This window comes from Homo sapiens, chromosome 20 (assembly GCF_000001405.40).
Source record: "Homo sapiens chromosome 20, GRCh38.p14 Primary Assembly".
Taxonomy (NCBI): Eukaryota; Metazoa; Chordata; class Mammalia; order Primates; family Hominidae; genus Homo; species Homo sapiens.
Genome location: NC_000020.11, coordinates 34,542,046 through 34,564,519, shown reverse-complemented (window position 1 = coordinate 34,564,519; position 22,474 = coordinate 34,542,046). Strand labels below are relative to the sequence as shown.

The following is a 22,474-nucleotide window of genomic DNA, read 5'->3' as shown; positions in this document are numbered from 1 at the left end:
CTGTTAATTTTTTTCCTGTTTCAAGAGCTGGAGTTTTGCTCTGTTGCCCAGGTCGACCTCCTGGGCTTAAGGGATCCCCTTGCCTCGGCTTCCCGAGTAGCTGGAATTACAGGCACAAGCCACCATTCCCAGCTAGTTCATTTATTTTTTAAATAAACTTTTTATTTTAGAATCACTTTAGATTTATAGAAAAGTTGCAGAGATAGAACAGAGTTCCTGTAAGCCCCCACCTAGTTGCCTAAGTTGTTAACATCTTATATTTTACCGTGATGTGTTTGTCAAAACTAAGACACTCACCCTGATACGTTACTATTAGTCTGAAACACTAGAATGGATTTGGATTTCCTGTTGTTCCAGTCACAGCCTCTTTCTCTACCAGGACCCCATCGAGAGGTCCACATTACATGTAAGGTCACATCTCCCCAGTGTCTTCTGCTTTTCTTCTTAGTCTTTTCTGACTTCTCATGACCTTGACAGTTGAGGAGCGCTGGCCAGGTATCTTGTAGAATGTCACCCAATTTAGGTTTGTCCCCCAGTTTAGGTTTGTCTGATGCTTTTCTTAGGACTATCCTGGGGTTGTGGGTTTTTAGAAAGAATACCCCAGGCAAAGTGCCCTTCTCATCACATCTATTGGGGTTACATGCTAGCCACGTGATTTCAAGCTGATGTTAACCTCCACCACGTGGTTAAGATAGTGTTGGCCAGGTCTCTCCACTGTAAAGTTACTCTTTTCCCTTTCCCTGCTCCTCAGGAGGAAGTGAGTAACCAAGTCTAGACCCCCCTAGGCTTAGGAGATGCAGAGTGGACAAGAATTAAGCTCCTTCTATGGGAGGGGGATATAACTACCTACATTGTTTGGAATTCTTCTGGAAGGAAGATTTATCTCCCCCCCCCCATTGATGTATTGATTCATTGATTTATTGGCTGATTTGTTTTAATTGAAGCTTTATTTTTTATTATTACTTTTTGAGACGCAGTTTCGCTCTTGTTGCCTAGGCTGGAGTGCAATGGCGCATCTCCGCCTCCCAGGTTCAAACCATTCTCCTGCCTTCAGCCTCCCAAGTAGCTGGGATTACAGGCATGCGCCACCATGCCCGGCTAATTTTGTATTTTTAGTAGAGACGGGGTTTCTCCATGTTGGTCAGGCTGGTCTCGAACTCCCAACCTCAGGTGATCCGCCTGCTTCGGCCTCCCAAAGTGCTGGGATTACAGGCATGAGCCACCGCACCTCGCCGAAGTTTTATTTTTATCAATGGAATACATGTATGTAGTTTGCAAAGTTAAGGCTTATAGGGGAAAAGAATAGCTACCTAAAGTCTTACTGTTATTTCTGTTGGTACTTCTAAATAACATGCTTACTTTTCCATGTGTACGTTTTTCCGTTTTATATTAGGTTGGATCATATGAAATTGCCAGTATTCAACCATTTTTTTATCTGCAAAACTGGCAATTTCATATGGTCCAACCTAATAACCTAATCTTTTTCTTCCTGCTTCTTGTCCAGATGATTATTGTGTGACATGGAGTTGCTTCGTTTTGATTGTTGTGGATTGTGACTGCACCTGCCCCTCAGCTGACCTGGTTCAGGGATCAGCCTCTGAGCTCAGCCCCTGCTTTGGGCTCCTCCTGCCCAGATGGCATCTCGGGCCTGGGTGAGAAAGGGCTGCAGGGTATGAGGTCAGCCTTTGCTGTGATCACTGCCCCCCAGTGGGCCAGCCTGGAGCTGCCAGCTGGGCAGCTGGGGGCAGGGCCTCGGGGGCTGCCTGAGCTCTGTCTGCTTTGCTGACGCTGTGACCAATCTCGTGCTCATCAGTGATCTGGGCCCCAGGCAGACCACCTTTCTGGGTCCATGGCCATTAGTCCAGTGCTCCAGGTGTAGCCTTAGGCCAACCATTGAACCCTTTGAGTCTCAGTTTCCCCATCTGTTTAAGATGAGGATTGTTCAACCTTCCAGATGGGCTTCTGTGGTGATAGAATGGCAGGTACTTGTCCTGAGGCCATCAGAGCTGCTGGTGACAGGACACCTTCCTGAACTCCTCCAGGCGCCTCTGATCTCTCCTTAGCTGCTGTTGTGTTACCTTCAGGTCAGTGAGAAGCTGCCCAGGACAGGGTCTGGAGGTCTAGATCCCAGGCTTAGCTCAACCTGTCTTGCCCCAAGACCATAGCCAAGTGCTCTGTGCCTCAGTCTCCCCATCTGTGCCAGGTGGTTGGTGCCAATCCTCTGAGGCCTCCAGGTGCCTGAGAGCTGCGGTGTCTGTAGTGTGAGCCCCTGTCCCCTCATCCTTCTCTGAGGCTGGGCCCTGCCCAACCTGCTCCAGGGACCAGTGGTCTTGGGAAGCTTGGGCTGACTGGGATTGCAGACTCCGGGTCTGGTGTATAGGGCCCTTGGCAAATCCCTATTCCTTTCTGGGCCTCCTTGAAGAGACAGTGGGCTGAGCTTCTAGGCTCCCTTTGATTCTTCTGTGTGTGGCCCAGAATGGGACAGACAGACTGAGCTGGGCACAGAAATACCATAGTGACAGAACCATTCGAAGACCCTGCCCTGATGGAGGCCCCGGGCCAGGGGAGGAGGCACAGTCAGGCTGTCAGCTGAATGGAAAATTACACTTTCGATGAGTCTGTTATCGAGTAGAGATTAGTGGGGCCAAGAACTAATCTGGGGGGCAAGTGATCCTTCCTGAGCCCTGAAGAGTAAGCAGCTGTCAACTAGATGAACGGGGAGAGAACATTCCAGGCAGAAGAAACAGTAAAGATCCTGCCGTGGGGTGAGGTGGAGCCGGGAGAGGGCGGACAGGGACCCTAGCAAGGTCTCAGAGCACGAGGGAGTTCGAGCTTTGCCCTAAGGCTTGGGAAGCCTTTGGAGGATTTGAAGGCTGGAAGTAACACCATCAGATGTGGGTTTTGAAAAGCTCCCTCTGGCTGCCAGGGAGAATGGGGTGGGCACGGGTTTGAGAGCAGGGAGCCCAAGGACCAAGCTTTGCTGTTGTTTAGGAGATGAGATGACAGTGGCTCTGTCCAGAGTAGTGACTGTGGGGATGGATCCAAAGGGTGGATTTGAGTTTAGGGGGAATTGACAGGTCATGGTGGCTCGATGTATGAGAGAAGTGTCAGGGCAATTTTGTGGCCTGGGCACCTGGCTGGAAGATGGGGGCATGGATGCTGAGTGGGAGAAGTGTATTTGACAGAGGGAAGGTGAGGAGTTTGATGTGGACCTGGCTGGGATGGAAGTGGCTGTGGGAGGATGGGGCAGAGGCCTCTGGTTGCACAGGCACCAGGCTGGCATTCGAGGCCAGAGCCTGGGATGGAGGTGTAGACCATGGGTGGGGGCAGGGGGAGTCCAGGCAGCTTCTGAGAGGCCAGACCTTGCAGGGTCAATTATGGGCCCTGAGGTGGGGGCCCTGAGGAGGGCCTCTCCAGTGATTGTGATCCAGAGCCAGGCAGGGGCGTTCCTGTCTTCCAACAACACCTGCCAGCAGTTCAGGGATCCTGGGTTTAGGGGGAGGTACCCAGCAGCGCCTCACACCCTCTCTCTCCCCCCAGATCCTGCTCATCTCTGATTACTTCTATGCCTTCCTGCGGCGGGAGTACTACCTCACACATGGCCTCTACTTGACCGCCAAGGATGGCACAGAGGCCATGCTCGTGCTCAAGTAGGCCTGGCTGGCACAGGGCTGCATGGACCTCAGGGGGCTGTGGGGCCAGAAGCTGGGCCAAGCCCTCCAGCCAGAGTTGCCAGCAGGCGAGTGCTTGGGCAGAAGAGGTTCGAGTCCAGGGTCACAAGTCTCTGGTACCAAAAGGGACCCATGGCTGACTGACAGCAAGGCCTATGGGGAAGAACTGGGAGCTCCCCAACTTGGACCCCCACCTTGTGGCTCTGCACACCAAGGAGCCCCCTCCCAGACAGGAAGGAGAAGAGGCAGGTGAGCAGGGCTTGTTAGATTGTGGCTACTTAATAAATGTTTTTTGTTATGAAGTCTACCCTGAGACCACATCTGCATTGCACTCCTAGAGGGGGTGGCCCCTAATAATGTTCTGGAACACTACACACAGGTGTGGGTTTCCAGAGCGAGCACCGCGGCCACAGAACACAAGTCTGTGCGCCAGAGCCCGGGGATGGTGCGGGCAGCCCCACCAGCACCCTCCCCACTCCCAAGCAAGCGGCTGGAGGCACAGGGCCAGGCAGGCCTGAGCAATCTTTATTCTGCAGAGGGACAATGACCACAGATCCATACACCACGTGGAGACCGAGGGGCGGGGAGCCAGGGGCCAGTCTTTCAGGGGTGGGCAGGTCCAGGCGGTGGGCAGAGCCTCGGGTGGGTGAGGGGCAGATGGGCAGACAGGCAGGGGCCTAAAAAAAAGATGAACCACACAGCAGGGGTGCTGGGAGCTGCTCCCCACCCTCCCCCATCCCACCAGCCAGCACCCAGAGGGACAACCCTAACACGACCGGCCCAGGATCCACCCAGGGGCAGAGTAGGTGGGTTGGTGCCCTCTGACTAGGGGGGCACATGCCTGCCCAGCCCACCACGGTAGAGGCAGCTCAGTTCAGGAACCAGGAGCTCTCTGGGCAGGGCCTGACCGGGGCCGCCCGACTCCCAGGCCGAGCCCCCCTACTGCTGGCTCAGAAGCCGAAGGTTTCCTGGGAGGCGTAGACCATATAGAGGAAGCCGTCCTCGTCTTTCTCCTGCTCGTAGATGTCCGCGATGGGCGTGGACACACTCACCATGCTGTGCTGGTTCACCAGCAGGAAGAAGGCCTGCGTGGGGTTCAGCTGCAGGCGGCGCCTGCAGCCGGCGGGAGAGTATGCAGCTGTGAGGGGCTTGGCTGCGGGACGGACATAGCCCTGACCCCCAGAATGATTCCCAGCCTTTCACACCCATTCTCACCCCAGCTGTCACCTCTGACCCAACACCGACTGCAGCCCCGACCTTGACCTTTCCAGCCACCCCAGAACAGGGGCCCACCGCCCGGTCCCATCACCCCTGACCCCACTCCCACCCCTTCTCGGCGGGAACCCGGCTCCCCTCCCGACCCTAGCCACCTCCTGGCGGCGGCTGCCCACGCACCGGATGATCTTGACCAACTCGCTCATGTTGACATGGTCCGGGACCAAAAACTTGGTCTTGTCCAGGACGGGCAGCTGCTTCTCACCCTTGTAGCGCTCGATGATCACCTGGGAGCAGGGCGGGCGGGCAGGGGGTCGTGTCGGGAACGCGCGAGGCGGGGGCGGGGCAGGGCTGGGGGTGCGGGACTCACCGGGATTTTGCTGGGGTGCTGGTCGCGGATCTGCTGTACCTCCTTACAGCGGTCGGCTGCGGACAGCGGCCAGACCGTGAGGCCGGGTCGGGCCGGCCCAGGTCCGCCCCGCCTGTCCCGGAGGGGCGGCCCCCGGCCACGCCCCAGCTCCAGCCCCCACCCCCGGGGCCATCAGGCCCCACAGCCCCTGGCACCTATCGCGGTGGGGAAGCGGGCAGCCCCCGCCCAGGCCGGAGCTGGTCCCAGCCCGAGGGTCCAGCCAGAGCCTGACGTCACGGGGCTGACGTCACCTGCGGCAGTCGGGGTCGGCCGGCACCCCTGCCCCAGAGCTCGCAGCTCGCCTGCCGGGCCTCACCGAAGCTCCGCCGCTGCTTGAAAGGCCGGTCTGAGGGCATCGCGCGGGCCCGGCTGGGCGCGCAGGCCGGGGCTCTGGGGCGCGGGGATGTGTCTGCGGTTTGGGGGCTCCGGGGGCTCCGCGCCTCGCGCTCAAGGGCTCCGGGGCTCGCGCTGAGCACGGCGGCTGCGGCTGCGGGAGGTAACTCGCCCGGTGACGTCAGGTCACAACATTCCTTAAAGGGGAGGCCAGTGCGCCGCTCCCATTGGGCCGACGCACAACCCGCCCGCCCGGACCCGTGACGTCACGGCGCAGAGAGCCTGGGTCCGCGGACCGGGACGCGAGGGGCGGGGCTTCTGGGCGCGTCACAGTCCCGTGACGTCATGGGCAGCGCGGGAGCTTCTCCCGCAGCCCGAACTCAAGGTAAGGCCCGGAGGGCGGTGGGGCCGCCCTAGGCCGATGGAGCGGGCGGGCCAGGCTGCAGCCCCACGGCACCACTTCCCGCCCTCACCGAGTCTGTGTCAGGACTGACGCGGTTCTGGGCGCCGTGGGAAACAGCCGGAGCCAAAGGCCCGGCGCCTTCACGGGGCTTAGGGCGAGAGAAGGGAGAAGGTGCGGGAGGCACAGTCAGACACAGGATAGAACAGGATGCTAGAAATGAACGCCCAGGTTTGAAAAAGAATAATATAATTGAAAAGTAGAGCCATCGAAATTCAGGTCTCAGAGGATGAGGTGAGAAGGCAGAAAAGGACAACAGAAGAGAAATCGTGGACCTGGAGGCTGATCGGAAGCAGCTCACCAGAGAGACAGGTGATGGGGAATAAGGAAAAGGGCACAGATGGCAACGCCAGGAGAACTCGCGGGCCCGAGCAGAGCTCCAGAGGCGAACACTGAAAGACCTGCAGAGACAGTTCCTGAAAAAGAGCTGCCAGAAATGATGCTTAAAATCCAGAGCAGAATGCGCAGACTGAAGATCAACATTTTTTTGGGGGAGGGGGGAGGGGGACGAAGTCTCGTTCTGTCGCCAGGCTGGGGTGCAGTGGTGCGATCTCAGCTCACTGCAACCTCTGCCTCCCGGGTTCAAGCGATTCTCCTGCCTCAGTCAGCCTCCTCAGTAGCTGGGATTACAGGCGCCTGCCACCACCCCCAGCTAATTATTGTATTTTTAGTAGAGATGGAGTTTCACCATGTTGGCCAGGATGGTCTCGATCTCCTGACCTCGTGATCCACTCGCCTCGGCCTCCCAAAGTGCTGGGATTACAGGTGTGAGCCACCACGCCTGGCCGCCGAAATAATTTTTAAAGAATGTAGTTTAGTAACAAGGACATGGAACCCAAAAGGAAGAAATTAGATGGAAAAATGGTGAGCAAATTGGTAAACATGTGAATCTAAACAAGCATTTAATATGCAATATGAATAATAATGATTAATTTGTGGGCCACAGAAACAAGATGCATGAGACACAAGAACATGGAAGACTGAGAGGGCAATTTGAGAGGGGGTTAAAGAGACTGAGCATTGTCTGGCTTTGTAAAGTCAGGTGTGTATTTCAGATATTTAAGAGGATCACCAAAAGAATACAAACGGAACTATAACTGCCAATGCAGAGAAAAGGGTAGTGATGGGTATTAAAACTATAATGGAAGGCAGAAAGGGAGAAAAAGGAAGCAAAGTAAAAGGGATGGTAAATATATAGTACAAAACCAGAGGTAGAAAATGTGGTTTACATTCACCTCTTAAAACACAGATGACCAGATTGGCCAAGAAAAAATAAGATGCAGCTCTATGCTATTTACAAGAGGAAATTTAAAACCTAAGGGCACCAAAAAGTAAAACGATGGGAAAAGGTGTACTAGAGAAAAACTAACCAAAAGATGTACCTATAGAAAACTCAGACAAAATAGGCCTTCAGGCAGAAGACACTGGGGATAAGAGGATCAACATGAAATGATGCGAGGAGGAACTCTGTGAAGAGAGGAAAGTTCTGAACTTCTATGTTCCAGGGTTTTTGTTTTTAAGGCTGAAAATAGGCCAGGCGCAGTGGCTCATGCCAGTAATCCCAGCACTTTGGGAGGCCGAGGTGGGTGGATCACTAGAGGCTGGGAATTCAAGACCAGCCTGGCCAACATGGCAAAACTCTGTCTCTACTAAAAATACAAAGATTAGCTAGCTGGGCGTGGTGGTGCACGCCTGTCATCCCAACTACTCAGGTGGCTGAGGCACAAGAATTGCTTGAACCTGCTAGGCGGAGGTTGCAGTGAGCTGAGATTGCGCCACTGCCCTCCAGCCTGGGCAACAGAGTGAGACTCTGTCTCGAAAAAAAAAAAAAAGAGGCTGAAAATATATTAAGAACACAAGGAGAAATTGCCAGGTCCTCCATCATAGGGAGACATAAGACCTCTTTGAGTAACTAATAAACCAAACAACCAAAAAAAAAAGGACATAGAGGATGTTAATACAGTTACTAATCAAGATCAATGAACCCCAATAGAAAACCTGACAGTTAGTTTTTTAACTTTTAAAATTTAAATTTCAGACCTGTGTGAGACCAACACATTATTTTCAATCACACAAGGAACATTTACAAAAATGACCCAACTACTAGGGTGCACGACAAATCTCAACAGATATCAAATCAGTTTCAACCATATTCTTTGGCCACAGACAAAAGCCGCGTAAGCTCCAGCTGTGTGGAAATTTAAACCTATTCTAAATATGAAGTCATATATAAATAAAAATTATTTAGTTCAAACAAAAAATGAGGATACATATGCTAAGAAAACTTGGTGGCCGGGCGCAGTGGCTCACGCCTGTAATCCCAGCACTTTGGGAGGCCAAGGCAGGCGGATCACGAGGTCAGGAGATCGAGACCATCCTGGCTAACATGGTGAAACCCCGTCTCTACTAAAAATACAAAAAATTAGCTGGGCGTGGTGGCGGGCGCCTGTAGTTCCAGCTACTCGGGAGGCTGAGGCAGGAGAATGGCTCGAACCTGGGAGGCGGAGCTTGCAGTAAATGGAGATCGCGCCACTGCACTCCAGCCTGGGCGACAGAGCGAGACTCCATCAAAAAAAAAAAAAAAAGAAAGAAAACTTGGGAGGGGGGCCATGGCAGGCCAGGTGTGGTGGTTCATACCTGTAATCCCAGCACTTTGGGGGGCCCAGACTGGAGAATTGCTTGAGCCCAAGAGTTCAAGGCTGCAGTGAGCTGTGATTGCAGCTCTGCATTCCAGCCTCGGTGACAAAATAAGATCCATTTCTTTAAAAAAAAAAAAAATCAGATTTATAGCCTTATTACATAGATGTATTACTTAGATAATAAATACAGAAAATCCATGAGCAGAGTTTCAAAGAAATTTAAGAAGGAGTAATAGTGTAATCCTAGCACTTTGGGAGGCCCAGGTTGGAAAATCATTTGAGCCCAGAAGTTTGAGACCAGCCTGGGCCACATAGTGAGACCCCGTCTCTACAAAAATGAGAAAATTAGGCCAGGCACAGTGGCTCACGCCTGTAATCCCAACACTTTGGGAGGCTGAGGTGGGCAGATCACTTGAGGCCAGGAGTTCGAGACCAGCCTGGCCAACATGGCAAAACCCTGTCTCTACTAAAAATACAGAAGTTAGCTGGGTGTGGTGGTGCATTCTGTAATCTCAGCTACTTGGGAGGCTGAGGCACAAGAATTGCTTGAATCCGGGAGGCAGAGGTTTCAGTGAGCCAAGATCATGCCACTGCACTCCAGCCTGCGTGACAAGAGTGAGACTCTGTCTCAAAAAAAAAAAAAAATAAGAAAATTCGCTGGCTTTGGTGGCACACACCTATAGTCCCAACTACTCAGGAAGGATCGTTTGAGTGACAGAGGCCCTTTCTCAGAAAAACAACAAAAAATGCTGAAAACAAACAAAAAACAACAACAACAAAAAATAGGCCAGGTGTGGTGGCCCACACCTGTAATCACAGCACTTGGGGAGGCCAAGGCAGGCAGATCACTTGAGTCCAGGAGTTGTAGACCAGCCTGGGCAATATGGTGAAACCCCATCTCTACAAAAAAAAAAAATACAAAAAATACAAAATACAAAAATTACAAAATACAAAAAAATTAGCTGGGTATGGTGGCACGTGTCTGTAGTCCAGCTACGTGGGAGGCTGAGGCATGAGAATTGCTTGAACCAGGGAGGTGGAGGTTGTAGTGAGCCAAGATTGTGTCACTACACTCCAGCCTGGCGACAGAGCGAGAGACCCCATCTCAAAAAACAAAAACAGGCCGGGCGCGGTGTCTCATGCCTGTAATCCCAGCACTTTGGGCGGCCAAGGCAGGCGGATCATGAGGTTAAGAGATTGAGACCATCCTGGCCAACATGGTGAAACCCCGTCTCTACTAAAAATACAAAAATTAGCTGGGCGTGGTGGTGCATGCCTGTAGTCCCAGCTACTTGGGAGGCTGAGGCAGGAGAATCACTTGAACCTGGGAGGCGGAGGTTGCAGTGAACCGAGATCGCGCCACCGCACTCCAGCCTGGTGACAGAGCGAGAGTTTGTCTAAAAAAAAAAAAAAAAAAAAAAAAAAAAAAAAAAAAAAACCCAACGTATAGTAAACATGTACTTAAAGGTAAAACACTATACTATGTGGTAAAACATGAAATATTCTCTTAAAAGCCAGGAACAAATGGCTAGTAAAGACAATTCAGTATTGTACAGGGGTCCAGAGCACCAAGACAAAAAAAGAGCAAACCTGTCACTCACAGCCAGGAAATCCAAGAGAATCTACACACAGTGAAAGACTGGTAACTACTGAAGGCTGAGGACACCTGATAGGTAATAAGTTTAGAGGAACGTGGAAAGATGGGCTCTTTCCACTGCTGCTGGGAGTGTAACTGACCTCAGCTACACTGGAGAGCAATTTGGCAAAATTGACCCAAACTGAAGATGCCCATGTCTTTCCTACACACCAGGAATTCCACTGTGTGTGCCCAGGAGCCCAGGGAAACAAGGGTAAGAATGTTTATTGTAACATTTTCATAATAGCAAAAAGTTGGGAACCACCTAAATGTCTTATTCAATAGCTTGCTGTGTGTTCCTATAACAGAACCACACCCTGTTTAATGAAAGATGGAGAGGAGTCGGCAAATGTTTCCCTTAAAGGGCCAGACAGTAAATATTTTAGGCTTTGCAGGCCATGTGGTCTCTGGCAGCCACCTGGTTCTGCTGTAGTGGCCTTAGACAGCCTAAATGAGATTGGCTGGATCTGGATAAAACTTTATTTGCCAAAACAAACAGACTTAACTGAGGGCCTTAGTTTGCCGACTTTTGATCCAGAGCTGTGTGTCAAACTGGACAAACCTCACACACACAGTGCCACAGAAGATTAAATGTGACCAGGCCCACTGAGAGCAGCCAAAGAACTGGGTCAGCCTTGGAAAGTGATTACACCTGTCTTTTGTCAGACTCAGCCCTGAACTGAGGCCAACGTGGAGGAGGAGGGCCCCAAGTCCCAAGCTGTGAGCTCTGCCCCTGCCTGACAGTCAGCAGGGCTGACTCGCCCTTCAGTCCCTCCCCTGCCCCATCACCCCTGAATCCAGTGGCCTGACCTCTACTTCATGTGTCTGCTTGAATGTCTGACAGACATCTCAAACTTGACCTGTGCACAACAAACCCATGATCTTCCCCTAAAATGTGCTCCAGTTGGAATCTTTTGTCTCCCCTTTTCAGGCCAAAAACCTTTTTCATTTATTTATTTTTCATTTTTGAGATGCAATTTCGCTCGTCACCTAGGTAGGGAGTGCAACGGCACAATATTGGCGTACCGCAACCTCCGCCACCCACCTTCAAGCGATTCTCCTGCCTCAGCCTCCCGAGTGGCTGGGATTACAGGCACCCGTCACCATGCCCAGCTAATTTTTGTATTTTTGGTAGAGACGGGGTTTCACCATGTTGGCCAGGCTGGTCTCGAACTCCTGGCCTCAGGCGATCCACCTGCCTTGGGCTTCCAAAGTGCTGGGATTATAGGTGTGAGCCATTGTGCCCGGCCTCCTCAGAGTCATTCTTGACTCCTTCCTTTCCTTTACCACCCCCTTCCACCACTCCTGCTCCACACCCAGTCCATCCTCAAATCCTGTCTGTTCCACCTTCAAGATTCTCCAGAATCTGACCATGGCACACCACGGCCGCCACTGCCACCAGGGCCAGAGCCCCGACCACATCTTGCAGAACTGCTGCTATTGTCTCCTTGCTGGTTTTCCTGCCCTGGCCTTGCCTCCTTCAGTCCGCTCTCAGGACAGTGACCACAGCTGTCCTGTCCCCACATACCCCTCTTAGAGTAAGAGCCAAGGGCTGATGGATGGTGGCCCAGGAGGCCGTGGGATCTGCCTCCCCGCTACTCCTCTGGCCTCCTGGCTACTCTAGGAATCCCTGTCAGGCTCATGCCCCAGGGCCTTTGCCTGGAACATCCTTCCCCGGGATCTCTGTGTCCCTCACACCCTCACCTCGAGTTTTGGTTCAAGTGTCTCCTCAGGGAGGCCTTCCAATATGCTGTATAATTTTTCTGGGCATTTCATTATGAAAGCGTTCAAACACACTTGAAATAATGGTAGTGGTCCCTCTTACACCCAGTTACATTCTGCCATTAACAGTTGGCTCTGCCAGGTCCAGAGGCTCACGCCTGTAACCCAAGCACTTTTCAAAGGCCAAGGCAGGTGGATCACCTGAGGTCAGGAATTTGAGACCAGCGTGGCCAACCTGGCGAAACCCCGTCTCTACTAAAAATACAAAAATTAGCTGGGTGTGGCAGTACTCGCCTGTAATCCCAGCCACTGGGGAGGCTGAGGCAGGAGAATCGCTTCAACCTGGAAGGTGGAGATTGCAGTGAGCCGAGATCGCACACTGCACTCTAGCCTGGGTGACAGAGATTTTGAGATTCCATCTCAAAAGCAGTTGGCTTCATCTGCTTTATTACGTCTCTGTCCATTTTCCCTTTTTGTTGAATTTCAGAGTAAGTTGCAGACATCTGTTCACTTTCTCCTCAGTCTTTCACATTCATGTCAGTATTTGGTTTTTTTTCTTTCAGGGTAAAATTCACAAACAATGAAATGCAGAGGTGTCAAGTGTACTCTTTGGTGAGTCTGAGAAGTACACTCACTAATGTGACCCAAACCCCTTTCAAGATAGAGAACATGGCCAGGCGCGGTGGCTCACGCCTGTAATCCCAGCACTTCGGGAGGCCAAGGGCAGATCACCTGAAGTCAAGAGTTCAAGACCAGCCTGGCCAACATGGTGAAACCCCATCTCTACTAAAGATAGAAAAAATTAGCCAGGCGTGATGGCAGGCACCTGTAATCCCAGCTACCTCCTGAATCGGAGAATCACTTGAACCCAGGAGGCAGAGGTTGCAGTGAGCCGAAATCGTGCCACTGCACTCCAGCCTGACTGTGGGCAACACAGCAAGACTCAAAAAAAAAAAAAAAAAAAAAAGGACAGCGTTCCCCTTGGAAGGTTCCTTGGGCCTCACCAGTCTACCTGCACGCCCCATGGAGGCAATCATTATTCTCATTTCTCACCATATTCTGGCCTGGTCTAGAAATTCTTCTAGATGGAATCATACGGCATGTATTCTTGTGCCTCTGGTTTAATTCAACATGAAGTTTTGAGGCTTACCCATGTTGTTGCAGGTATCAGTAGGCTTTTTTTTTTTTTGAGACAGAGTCTGTCACCCAGGCTGAAGTGCAGTGGCAAGATCTTGGCTCACTGCAACCTCCACCTTCTGGGTTCAAGTGATTCTCCTGCCTTGGTCTCCTGAGTAGCTGGGATTACGGGAGCATGCCACCAGGCCTGGCTAATTTTTTTTTTTGTATTTTTAGTAGAGACAGGGTTTCACTATATTGCCCAGGCTGGTCTCAAACTCCTGACCTCCTGATCTACCGGTTTCAGCCTCCTAAAGTGCTGAGATTACAAGCATGAGCCACCGTGCCCAAGTAGGCCATTTCTTTAAACTATCAAGTAGGTTCCCATGGATGGATGTAGCAGTTTTTCCATTGATGGATGCCTGGGCTGTTTCCAGCTTTTGGTGATTGTGAATAAAACTGCTCTGAACGTTTCTGTGACAGTGTTTGTGTGGATATATATATATTTTTAATTATACTTTAAGGGATATGTTCTTTTGTTTCACTTGGACGAATAGGAGATATGCTGGCTTTGGGGGCAGGTGTGTGTTTGAGGAGTGGCCAGGCCTCTCTTCAGTGCTGTTCCATTTTGTGCTCCCATCAGCGATGTGCGGGAGTTCCAGGTGCGCTGCCTCCTTGCCACCGTTTGGTGGTGTTCATTTTCGTTTCGCCATTTTGGCGGGTGTGTAGTGGTATCTCACTGTGGTTTTACATTTAATATTATAAAATTTTATTTCCTTCTCACTAAAGTGCAAGCCCTTGAAGGGCAGTTCTGCATATGCTTGGTTCCTGCTACACCCCAGGACTTAGAGTGTGGCACATGGTGGGTGCTCAGTAATTATTATTTGGATAAGTGACCCCTCCCCCAGGCCCCCACAGTCATCTCTCCATGCCGTTTGCCATCTAGAAGGTCTATCTCCCCCTCTAGACCATGCGCAGGGACAGAGTCTGTGCCAAGCACTGCTGCTGGGTGCTAGGAGGATCAGCAGAGGTTGGGGGAGTCGTTTCTGCTCAGGGGGTCTCAGCCACGGTCAAGCGCACCCTCGACTGCTCTGCTCCCACCCCTCATTCCTGCCGTTCTGTGGCTTCGGACTTGGACCCATGGGCCTGAGAAAAAGTGGAGAACTGGCCTTGGCCGGCCTGGCACACGGGCGGAGCAACCCTGGCCTGCTTGGCCACTGATGACCGCGAGTGTGGACAGACCATAGGCCCTGAGCTCCTTCACACAACGGCAGGCGGGCCAGACAGACCTGGGTCCACAGCTGCTTTTCCACATGGAGAACTGAAGAATCTCATCTTCATCTGCAAAACTGAGACAGTGTCAGAACTACCTCTGAGGTGGAGGGTCAGTCAGCAACTCGGAAGCCATGGAGTCCTGGGGGAAACAGGGCCTGCAATCAGCACGGAGGCAGGAGGCAGGAGGGACTGACTCTGGACGAGATTGAAGACTGGCTGAACCAGAAGTGCTGAAATCACCTCTCCCTAAGACACGCCCACCAGTGCCATGGCAGTTTACCATTGCCATGGCAACACCTGGAAGTTACCACCTCTGGCCATGGCAACACTCAAAAGTTACCGCCCATTTTCTAGCTATTTCTGAATAACCCGCCCCCTGAATTAGGATGTCATTAAAAATGGGAATAAGCACGGATTCAGATCTGTCCCTGGGCTGCTACTCTCAGCACACTGCCCATGGCGGGGCCAGTCACAGCCGTAACGTGCCACCCCATCAATCAAGCTGTTTTCTTCTACCACCGGCTGGTTCTTGAATTCCTTCCTGAGCCAGGCAAAGAACCTGCCCTGCATCAACACCGCTGTGACTTGGCGCCTCGTTTAAGGTGATGAACTCGTAAAAATGGGCCTCATATCGGGAGGACACGTGGGCTGAAGTCTGAGTCAGGGTCATTATCTCCGAGGAAGGATTGGCAGTTCCCGTTTACAGACTCAAAGTGAAGGCTGACCATGGTGGCTCGTGCCTGTAATCCCAGCACTTTGGGAGGCCAAGGTGGTCTGATCACCTGAGGTCAAGAGTTCTAGACCAGCCTGGCCAACACGGCGAAACCCCTTCTCTACTAAAAATACAAAAATTAGCCAGGCATGATGGTGCATGCCTGCAATCCCAGCTACTTGGGAAGCTGAGGCAGAAGAATCACTTGAACCCGGGAGGCGGAGGTTGCAGTGAGCCAAGATTGCACCACTGCCCTCTAGCCTGGGTGATAGAGACTATCAAAACAAAAACAAAACCAAAAAACCACAACCAAAAAAGCAAAGTGGGGCCGGGCATGGTGGCTCACACCTGTAATCCCAGCACTTCGGGAGGCCGAGGTGGGTGGATCACCTGAGGTCAGGAGTTCAAGACCAGCTTGGCCAACATGGTGAAACCCTGTATCTACTAAAAACACAAAAATTAGCTGGGCATGGTGGCGGGCGCCTGTAGTCTCAGCTACTCGGGAGACTGAGGCAGGAGAATTGCTTGAACCCGGGAGGCGGAGGTTTTAGTGAGTCGAGATTGTGCCATTGCACTCCAGCCTGGGAGACAAGAGCAAGACTCCATCTTTAAAAAAAAAAAAAAAAGGCAGCGAAGGGGAACACTCCAAAGATTGTAGGGACTGAGACCCACTCAGGGGTCCTCCGGCCTCGAGCTCACACTGCCCCACCTTGCTCCCCACAGATCCTCTGCTTTCACTGGAAAAGTGGAGGCTGAGAACACCAACCCCACAGCCCATGCAGGGCCTCAGACCTGGCCATTCCCTTCCTCCGGGCCTCACCCGCATATCTGTCCTCCTCTTGAGCCAGGGGCGTGCTCAGGCCTCTCCAGCTCTAACTCCACCTCCCTGAGTGAGAGGGCCGGGGCTGCCACCCTTCTCCCTCCGTGACCTCAAGCCCTTGGAGCGGTCTGGTCACCTGGGGAGGTTGGCTCCCCGCGGCCTTCGCAGCCTCCAGCCACTCATGGGGTCCTGGGTTCTCTCCACACCCACCAGTGCCTCCACTATGAGTGACGTACAATCCCCACCTCCAGTTTGGCTTCCAGCTGTCAGGTCCAGGCTCTGTCTCTGGAACAAAGGCTGCCTCCGAACTCAACACGTCCAAAGGAAGTCATCTCTTTCCCCAAGCCTGTGCCTCTAGCTAATCGCCCCCTCCCTTCTCATCCCATCACCTGGTCCAGGCCCAGGTGGACTCCCCCTCACCTGCCATTGCAGTCCTGAGTCCTCTCAAGCCCATCTGTGTCGTCCCACCTGTCTCCACCGTCACTGCTCCGGGAACCCCCCTCCCTCGTCTGCCCTAGAGGGCACCTCACCAGTGTGCCTCCCCTGCAGAAGCAAGGCCGAGCACACTGACCCCCGCCTATCTGAACAATCAGCCCCTTCCAAAGTTTCATTCTGGCCAGGTGCGGTGGCTCACACCTGCAATCCCAGCGTTTAGGGAGGCCGCAGGAGCTCAAGACCAGCCTGGGAAACTATTTGTCCATTCTCACACTGCTGTGAAGAACTGCCCGAGCCTGAGTAATTTACAAAGAAAAGAGGTTTAACTGAGGCACAGTTCTGCATGGCTGGGGAGGCCTCAGGAAACTCACAATCCTGGAGGAAGGTGACGGGGAAGCAGGCACCTTCTTCGCTAGGCGACAGGAGAGAGAATGAACGCAGGAGGACCTACCAAACCATCAGCTCTTGTGAGAACTATCACGGGAAGAGCATGGGGGAACCGCCCCCATGATTCAATCACCTCCACCTGGGCTCTCCCTTGACACCTGGGGATTATGGGGATTATAATTCAAGATGAGATTTTGGGTGGGGCAGAGCCAGACCATATCAGCAACATAACCAGACCCTGTCTCTATTTAAAAAAAAAAAAAAAAAAAAAAGGTGGGGAGCGGTTGGGGAAGAAAAAAATTTTAATTAAAAAAAAAATTCCACTGCCACCCTCTATCCAGTCACTTCCCTTCCTCACCCAGCACAGACTCCACAGCCATCATAATTACTTCCAAAAGTCCCAACTCCCTCTTTCTTCTGCCGCCTTAACCTGGCCGAGTTCAGCTGTATGGTGACTGCTGCACCCCCGGCTGAAAAAGATGCTGCAAAAGGGCCACCTGCCGAACCCGTCAAACTCCCCGCCCGCGTCCCCAGGGAAGTGTATGTTTTCTCTCCTCTCCTGCGAGGCACCTTCCCTGCTGCCCTCACTCCACAGAGACCTTGCCCTGCCATCTGGGCCGCTCCCTGGCTATGCTGAGTGGAATCACTGTCCCTGTTCCTAAGGCCAGTCCTTCCACTGTGCGCAGGACGCCAGCCCTCCTCACGCCCCATGGACTTGCTCCGAGGCCCCTTACGATCTCTCCGCAGCAAACAAATGTGTTCTGGTGACTCACCCCTCCTCAAAATCCTTTCTCCTTGCACCTGGCTTCCATGCAGTCAGGAGTGGCAGGTGGCTGAACTTCAGTTAATTAGGCCTAAGTAGGAAGTGCCCTATGGGACTCCTGGGAAATTGCCTTAAAGGGAAAAGGTACATCCTTTGCCATCCCCATCCTCCATCAGCTGCCATCTGGAACTTGAACGTGATAACTGGGGCTCCAGAAGCTTTTTTTGTTTTGTTTTGAGACGGAGTTTCGCTCTTGTTGCCCAGGCTGGAGTGCAATGGCACGATCTTGACTCACAGCAACCTCCATCTCCCAGGTTCAAGCGATTCTCCTGCCTCAGCTTCCCGAGTAGTTGGGATTACAGGCATGTGCACCACGCCTGGCTACTTTTGTATTTTTAGTAGACATGGGGTTTCTCCATGTTGGTCAGGCTGATCTCGAACTCCTGACCTCAGGTGATCTGCCCGCCTCGGCCTCCCAAAATGCTGGGATTACAGGCGTGAGCCACCATGCCCAGCCTCCACAACCTTTTTTTTTGGAGACACGGTCTCACTCTGTTGGCCAGGCTGGAGTGCAGTGGCGCAATGCAGCCTTGACCTGCCAGGCTCAAGCAATCCTCTCATCTCAGCCTCCCAAGTAGCTGGGACTACAGGTACTCACCATCGCACCCGGCTGTCTTTTGTATTTTTAGTAGAAATGGGGTTTCACCACGTTACCCAGGCTGGTCTCGAACTCCTGGGCTCAAGAGAATCTCCCGCCTTGGCCTCTCAAAGTGCTGGGATTACAGGCATGAGCCACTGCACCTAACCTTCTTGGCTTTAAATACCAGTAACAGGCTGATAGCTCCATATCCTTATGTCTAGCAAGGCCTGGCAGAGTTGGGTATTCAACAGTCCATCCGACATTCTTTCTAAACACATGGGTATCTCACAGGCTCAGATTAAGCCATTTCCAAATTGCTGGTGCTCTTTCCCCACAAAGGTCCCCAGTCAGCCTCCTCTCAGTAAATGGCAGCACCTGGTTGCCCAAGCAGGCATGGAGGAGTCTCCTTTGATGTCTCATTTCCTTACTTTCCAACCCTCCCCAGCAAGTCCTGGCGTTCTCCCTTCAGAATCCCCCCTTCCGACCCCATGAAACCGCCCTTGCCCAAGCCACCATCAGTTCTCCCCTGGCTGCCTGCGCTCCTGACTCCACTCGGCTCCACATTCTCCCCGGAGCCACCGGGACGCAAACCTGTGTACATTTCTAGAGAGCAGGTTCATGTTTGCAGGGGGCTGTCTTTGGTTGACTCTGGCAGATTCGCCCTGACTTCTAGATAACGCTCCTCATTCTTCAGTTACTTCATTAGAAAAGGGCTGGGAAGCCCCTGGCTTATCATATTATAGCCTGTTGTTAGGTTATTGCAAACTTTTTAAATTTAATTTTTACCCAAATACTTGTAGTATTTAAAAATCAAATATGCCAGGCGTGGTGGCTTGCACCTGTAATCCCAGCAGTTTGGGAGGCTGAGGTGGGAGAATTGCTTGAGCCCAGGAGTTGGATCCCAGCTTTAGCAACATGGTGAAACCCTGTCTCTACTAAAAATACAGAAAAATTACCCAGGTGTGGTGGCGCACACCTGCAATCCCAGCTCCTTGGGAGGCTGAGGCAGAATTGCTTGAACCTGGGAGGCAGAGGTTGCAGTGAGCTGAGATCAGGCCACTCACTGCACTCCAGCCTGGGTGAAAAGAGGGAGATTGTGTACCCCCCCTGCCCCCCACAAAAAATCATGAAATTCCCTATTTCACCTAGCCTTTTTTAGGGAAAACAGCTAACGTATTTCTTGTGAACTAGGGAGTTGAAGTTGAATTACCTTCATCTTAGTTTCTGCTGAGACCCCCCAAGGCATATTCTCTGGGCCGATTGCCACGTAGAGGAGCAGGACCAGCAGCAGCCTGGACTGTGACACCAGGTGGTCCCAAGCGAGCTCACACTTCTGCTGGGAATGTGGTCTATAAAGGAGCTGGAAGTTCGAGGAAGATTTTTAGAGGCCACCGAGAGGCTATGAATCTTATCGTAACCCATGGAGGAAGGCGGTGGGGTTTCTGCTTCACCACGACTCAACAGAAGAGAGTGTGTAGAGGGGAGACCCCGACAGCCAGGAGCCAAAGATAGGGCCGGCCAGAAGGAGCGCACCCTTCAAAGTGAGGGAGCTACCAACAGAAGAGGGCAGGGGGCATGCGTGTCAAAGCGCATGAAAATGCACCACGGCCGAAGCCAGTTCACAGCAGTATCGGCGAACGATGAATTTCTGCTCCCCACCTCATGCCCCTCTCAGCAACTTGGGAAAGAGAGCTGACAGCACCAAGTGGGCAAATAAAATAAGGCCGAGGCCAAACATAAGCTGCTCTCCCCCTGCAGAGAGCGAGGTTCCCCGCGGGCCCACAGTGGAAGGGGCGGCCTCTCTCCAAACGCGGCTGGAAGGAGTAGTTCCTGTGTTGGGCGGGGACTTCATCTGCCCAGGGCAGGGCTTGCTCTACATCTCACCTAGGGACAGCGGGAGAACAAGCCCTAGAGAGTAAATTTAGACAGTGAGAGACCAAAATAAAGGTGCTTTTGATTGGATTGAGCTTGTTCACCATAGCAGTAGGACTAGTATTTTGAACATGTTCTGCAATTGTGTTATTTGCCTTCTCAATACATAACTGATCAGCTGAAGTTCACTGACAGTGGGGTATGCTTACTAATTTGATGGATTCAGTGACTTTGATTTCTACCTGCTGTGATGACGGAATCTGAGACCTCCATTTCTCATTTTTTCTTTTTCTGGTAATTTGGTAGAGACAGATGGGAATTTGGTATGGAAAGGTGGCTTTCAGGATTCTCAATGAAAAACGTGCCAACATGCAGTGTCTCAGAGCCAAACATACGAAAGAGGAGAAAACCTATAATCCTTTGAGCATTTTTAATTTTTGGAGAAACAGCAATACCAGCTCACAGAGGAGGATCAGAATTCCAGGGAGCCGTGGCCAGGGCTGAGGCGGAGGCATGAGTGCTGACGGGAGATGGCAGCTGCGGCACCTCCCGAGAAGCTGCCACTTCCCTGAAACGCCGGCCCTGCTCACGGAGCCCAGGTGAGAGCTGTACCTTAGAGGGCAGAAATCATACTTGGAGGAAATCAGAACAGGGTGGCCTCTGGGGAGTGGGCTGGGCCGACTGGGAAGCAGCAGCAGCTTTCCTGAAACGGCTGTGAGGTTACACAGGGGTCACATTTGTCACTTTGAAGATCTGTGCATTTTACTCTATGTAAATCTTACCCATCCTCCAAAAGCAGTAAACAAACTAGTTAATGATACACACTTGGCAGTGCTTGGGGTGGGTACTGCCTGCAATATACTTAGAAAGCCATAAAAAATAAGTTAGATGGAAGAATGGAAAGTTATGTGATACAGAAATATAGCAAAATGGGTAACTGTAGAATTGAGATGGAAGATATACAATTATTTCAATTCTCTGTAGGTTTGAAATTTTTCATAAAAAAATACTGGGTGTGGGCACACCTTTGCTATATTGGCAAATGTCCTTCTGAAACTCAGAACCCATGCTTTTCCCTCTAGGCCTAGGACAGCTGTCAGTTTCTAACCTTGACAGTATACACGCTACTTTTGAGTACAGAAACACTAGGGTTTTTGTATGTGGAATACCATTATTTAGATTCTTAAAAATCTGAATTTTGGCCAAGCATGGTGGCTCACGCCTGTAATCCCAGCACTTTGGGAGGCCAAGGCAGGCGGATCACCTGAGGCCAGGAGTTTGAGACCAGCCTGGCCAACATGGTGAAACCCCATCTCTACAAAAAAATACAAAAACTAGCTCAGGCATGGTGGTGGGCGCTTATAGTCCCAGCTACTTGGGAGGCTGACGCAGGAGAATCACTTGAACCTGGGAGGTGGCGGTTGCAGTGAGCCAAAATCGCGCCACTGCACTCCAGCCTGAGTGACAGAGAGAGACTCTGTCTCAAAAAAAAAACAAAAAACAAAACTTAATTTTAACCTCTTTTTCCCCCGCTGTAAACCTTCTCTGTGGCCATGAATTTTTACATCTTTTTTGAGACAAGGTCTCACTTTGTCACCCAGGCTGGAGTGCAGTGGTGGACGCATAGCTCGCTGCAGCATCAACCTCAAGCAATCCTCCCACCTCAGCTTCCCCAGCAGCTGGGACTACAGGTGCGTGCCACCACGCCCAGCTAATTTTCATATTTTTGGTGGAGACAAGGTTTTGCCATGTCGCAACAGGCTGTTCTTGAACTCCTGGGCTCAAGCAATCCTGCCCTGACCTCCCAAAGTGCTGGGATTACAGGCAGGAGCCACCGCACCCAGCCAGATTTTTACATCTTGAGTCCAAGGAATTATGCTTGCCTTGCTGCATTACAAACTCCTGATGTACATGGTGGGCTCCTGATGTACAAAATCCTGGTGCTCAAGGGACTGGGAAGTGGAGCATCTTTATTTTCATAAGAAACTTTCCCCAAGACTTTGATGGAATGCTTTTAGGATGGGGAACTTTAAGGCAAACAAGAGGCAGTACTAGGGGGACTAAGGGAAGGTGGAAGGGACAGGCCCTCAGCCCTATTCTGAACCCTTGCTTTGGAGCCAGAACGCCTCCTCCCTCCAGGGACAGACCCCCGATCGCCGTCCTAGAAACCTGACCTCTCCTCCTCCGACCTCCTTCCCCATTATCCTTCTTGGAGAAATTCAAGCAGAAGGACGGAGGAGCCTCAGACTTGGATCCCAGCTTCCGAGAACACAAGGGTGACGCTGCTGGCCACACCCCACGTTCGTCTGCAGCACGGAACTTAGCAGAGAATCACCACGTGGGGTCTGCAGTCACCCACTCTCAGGGGG

General features: G+C 52.0%; 2 protein-coding genes across 9 annotated transcripts in view, besides 3 other annotated features; one reads left to right on the top strand and one right to left on the bottom strand.

Annotated features, from left to right (window-relative positions):
* Positions 1–3,978, top strand: part of PIGU (phosphatidylinositol glycan anchor biosynthesis class U) — a 116,551-nt gene extending 112,573 nt beyond the window's left edge. For all 3 annotated transcript variants that reach the window (XM_017027664.2, NM_080476.5, XM_011528542.2), the window contains one exon: positions 3,541–3,978. In XM_017027664.2, coding sequence (XP_016883153.1) covers positions 3,541–3,654 — 114 coding nt within the window. In that variant the 3' untranslated portion in view covers positions 3,655–3,978. The remainder of the gene's footprint in view (positions 1–3,540) is intronic.
* Positions 3,997–4,046: a silencer, noted in NCBI's record as "silent region_12840". NCBI's record gives its function as "represses an Ori minimal core promoter by ATAC-STARR-seq in GM12878 lymphoblastoid cells {active_cell/tissue: GM12878}" and the evidence as "EXISTENCE:reporter gene assay evidence [ECO:0000049][PMID:35858748]".
* MAP1LC3A (microtubule associated protein 1 light chain 3 alpha) lies at positions 4,175–17,676 on the bottom strand. Of its 6 annotated transcripts, XM_011529084.3 has the most exons (8): positions 17,604–17,676; positions 14,491–14,615; positions 8,726–8,848; positions 5,612–5,782; positions 5,257–5,312; positions 5,067–5,173; positions 4,615–4,784; positions 4,175–4,348 (listed from the first exon to the last, which is right to left on the bottom strand). In XM_011529084.3, the coding sequence occupies exons 2-7, from the start codon at positions 14,540–14,542 to the stop codon at positions 4,622–4,624; spliced, it is 672 nt and encodes a 223-aa protein (XP_011527386.1). In that variant the 5' UTR covers positions 14,543–14,615; positions 17,604–17,676; the 3' UTR covers positions 4,175–4,348; positions 4,615–4,621. The 6 variants fall into 6 exon arrangements, with proteins under 6 accessions (XP_011527386.1, XP_011527387.1, NP_852610.1 ...); XM_011529085.3 differs by lacking the exon at positions 8,726–8,848 and having other exon boundaries at positions 4,175–4,784; NM_181509.3 differs by lacking the exons at positions 5,612–5,782; positions 8,726–8,848 and having other exon boundaries at positions 4,175–4,784.
* Positions 5,621–5,670: a silencer, noted in NCBI's record as "silent region_12839". NCBI's record gives its function as "represses an Ori minimal core promoter by ATAC-STARR-seq in GM12878 lymphoblastoid cells {active_cell/tissue: GM12878}" and the evidence as "EXISTENCE:reporter gene assay evidence [ECO:0000049][PMID:35858748]".
* Positions 6,011–6,100: a silencer, noted in NCBI's record as "silent region_12838". NCBI's record gives its function as "represses an Ori minimal core promoter by ATAC-STARR-seq in GM12878 lymphoblastoid cells {active_cell/tissue: GM12878}" and the evidence as "EXISTENCE:reporter gene assay evidence [ECO:0000049][PMID:35858748]".
* Positions 17,677–22,474: the final 4,798 nt, after the last annotated feature.

Coding starts and splice junctions, on each gene's coding strand:
- MAP1LC3A (XM_011529084.3), bottom strand. CDS start 14,542: ATGAAGATGAGATTCTTCAGTTCTCCATGTGGAAAAGCAGCTGTGGAC. Junction 8,849..14,490: donor AAAAGCAGCTGTGGACCCAG/GTCTGTCTGGCC, acceptor TTTTTTTTAAAG/AAATGGATCTTATTTTGTCA. Junction 4,785..5,066: donor GAGTTGGTCAAGATCATCCG/GTGCGTGGGCAG, acceptor CGCCGGCTGCAG/GCGCCGCCTGCAGCTGAACC.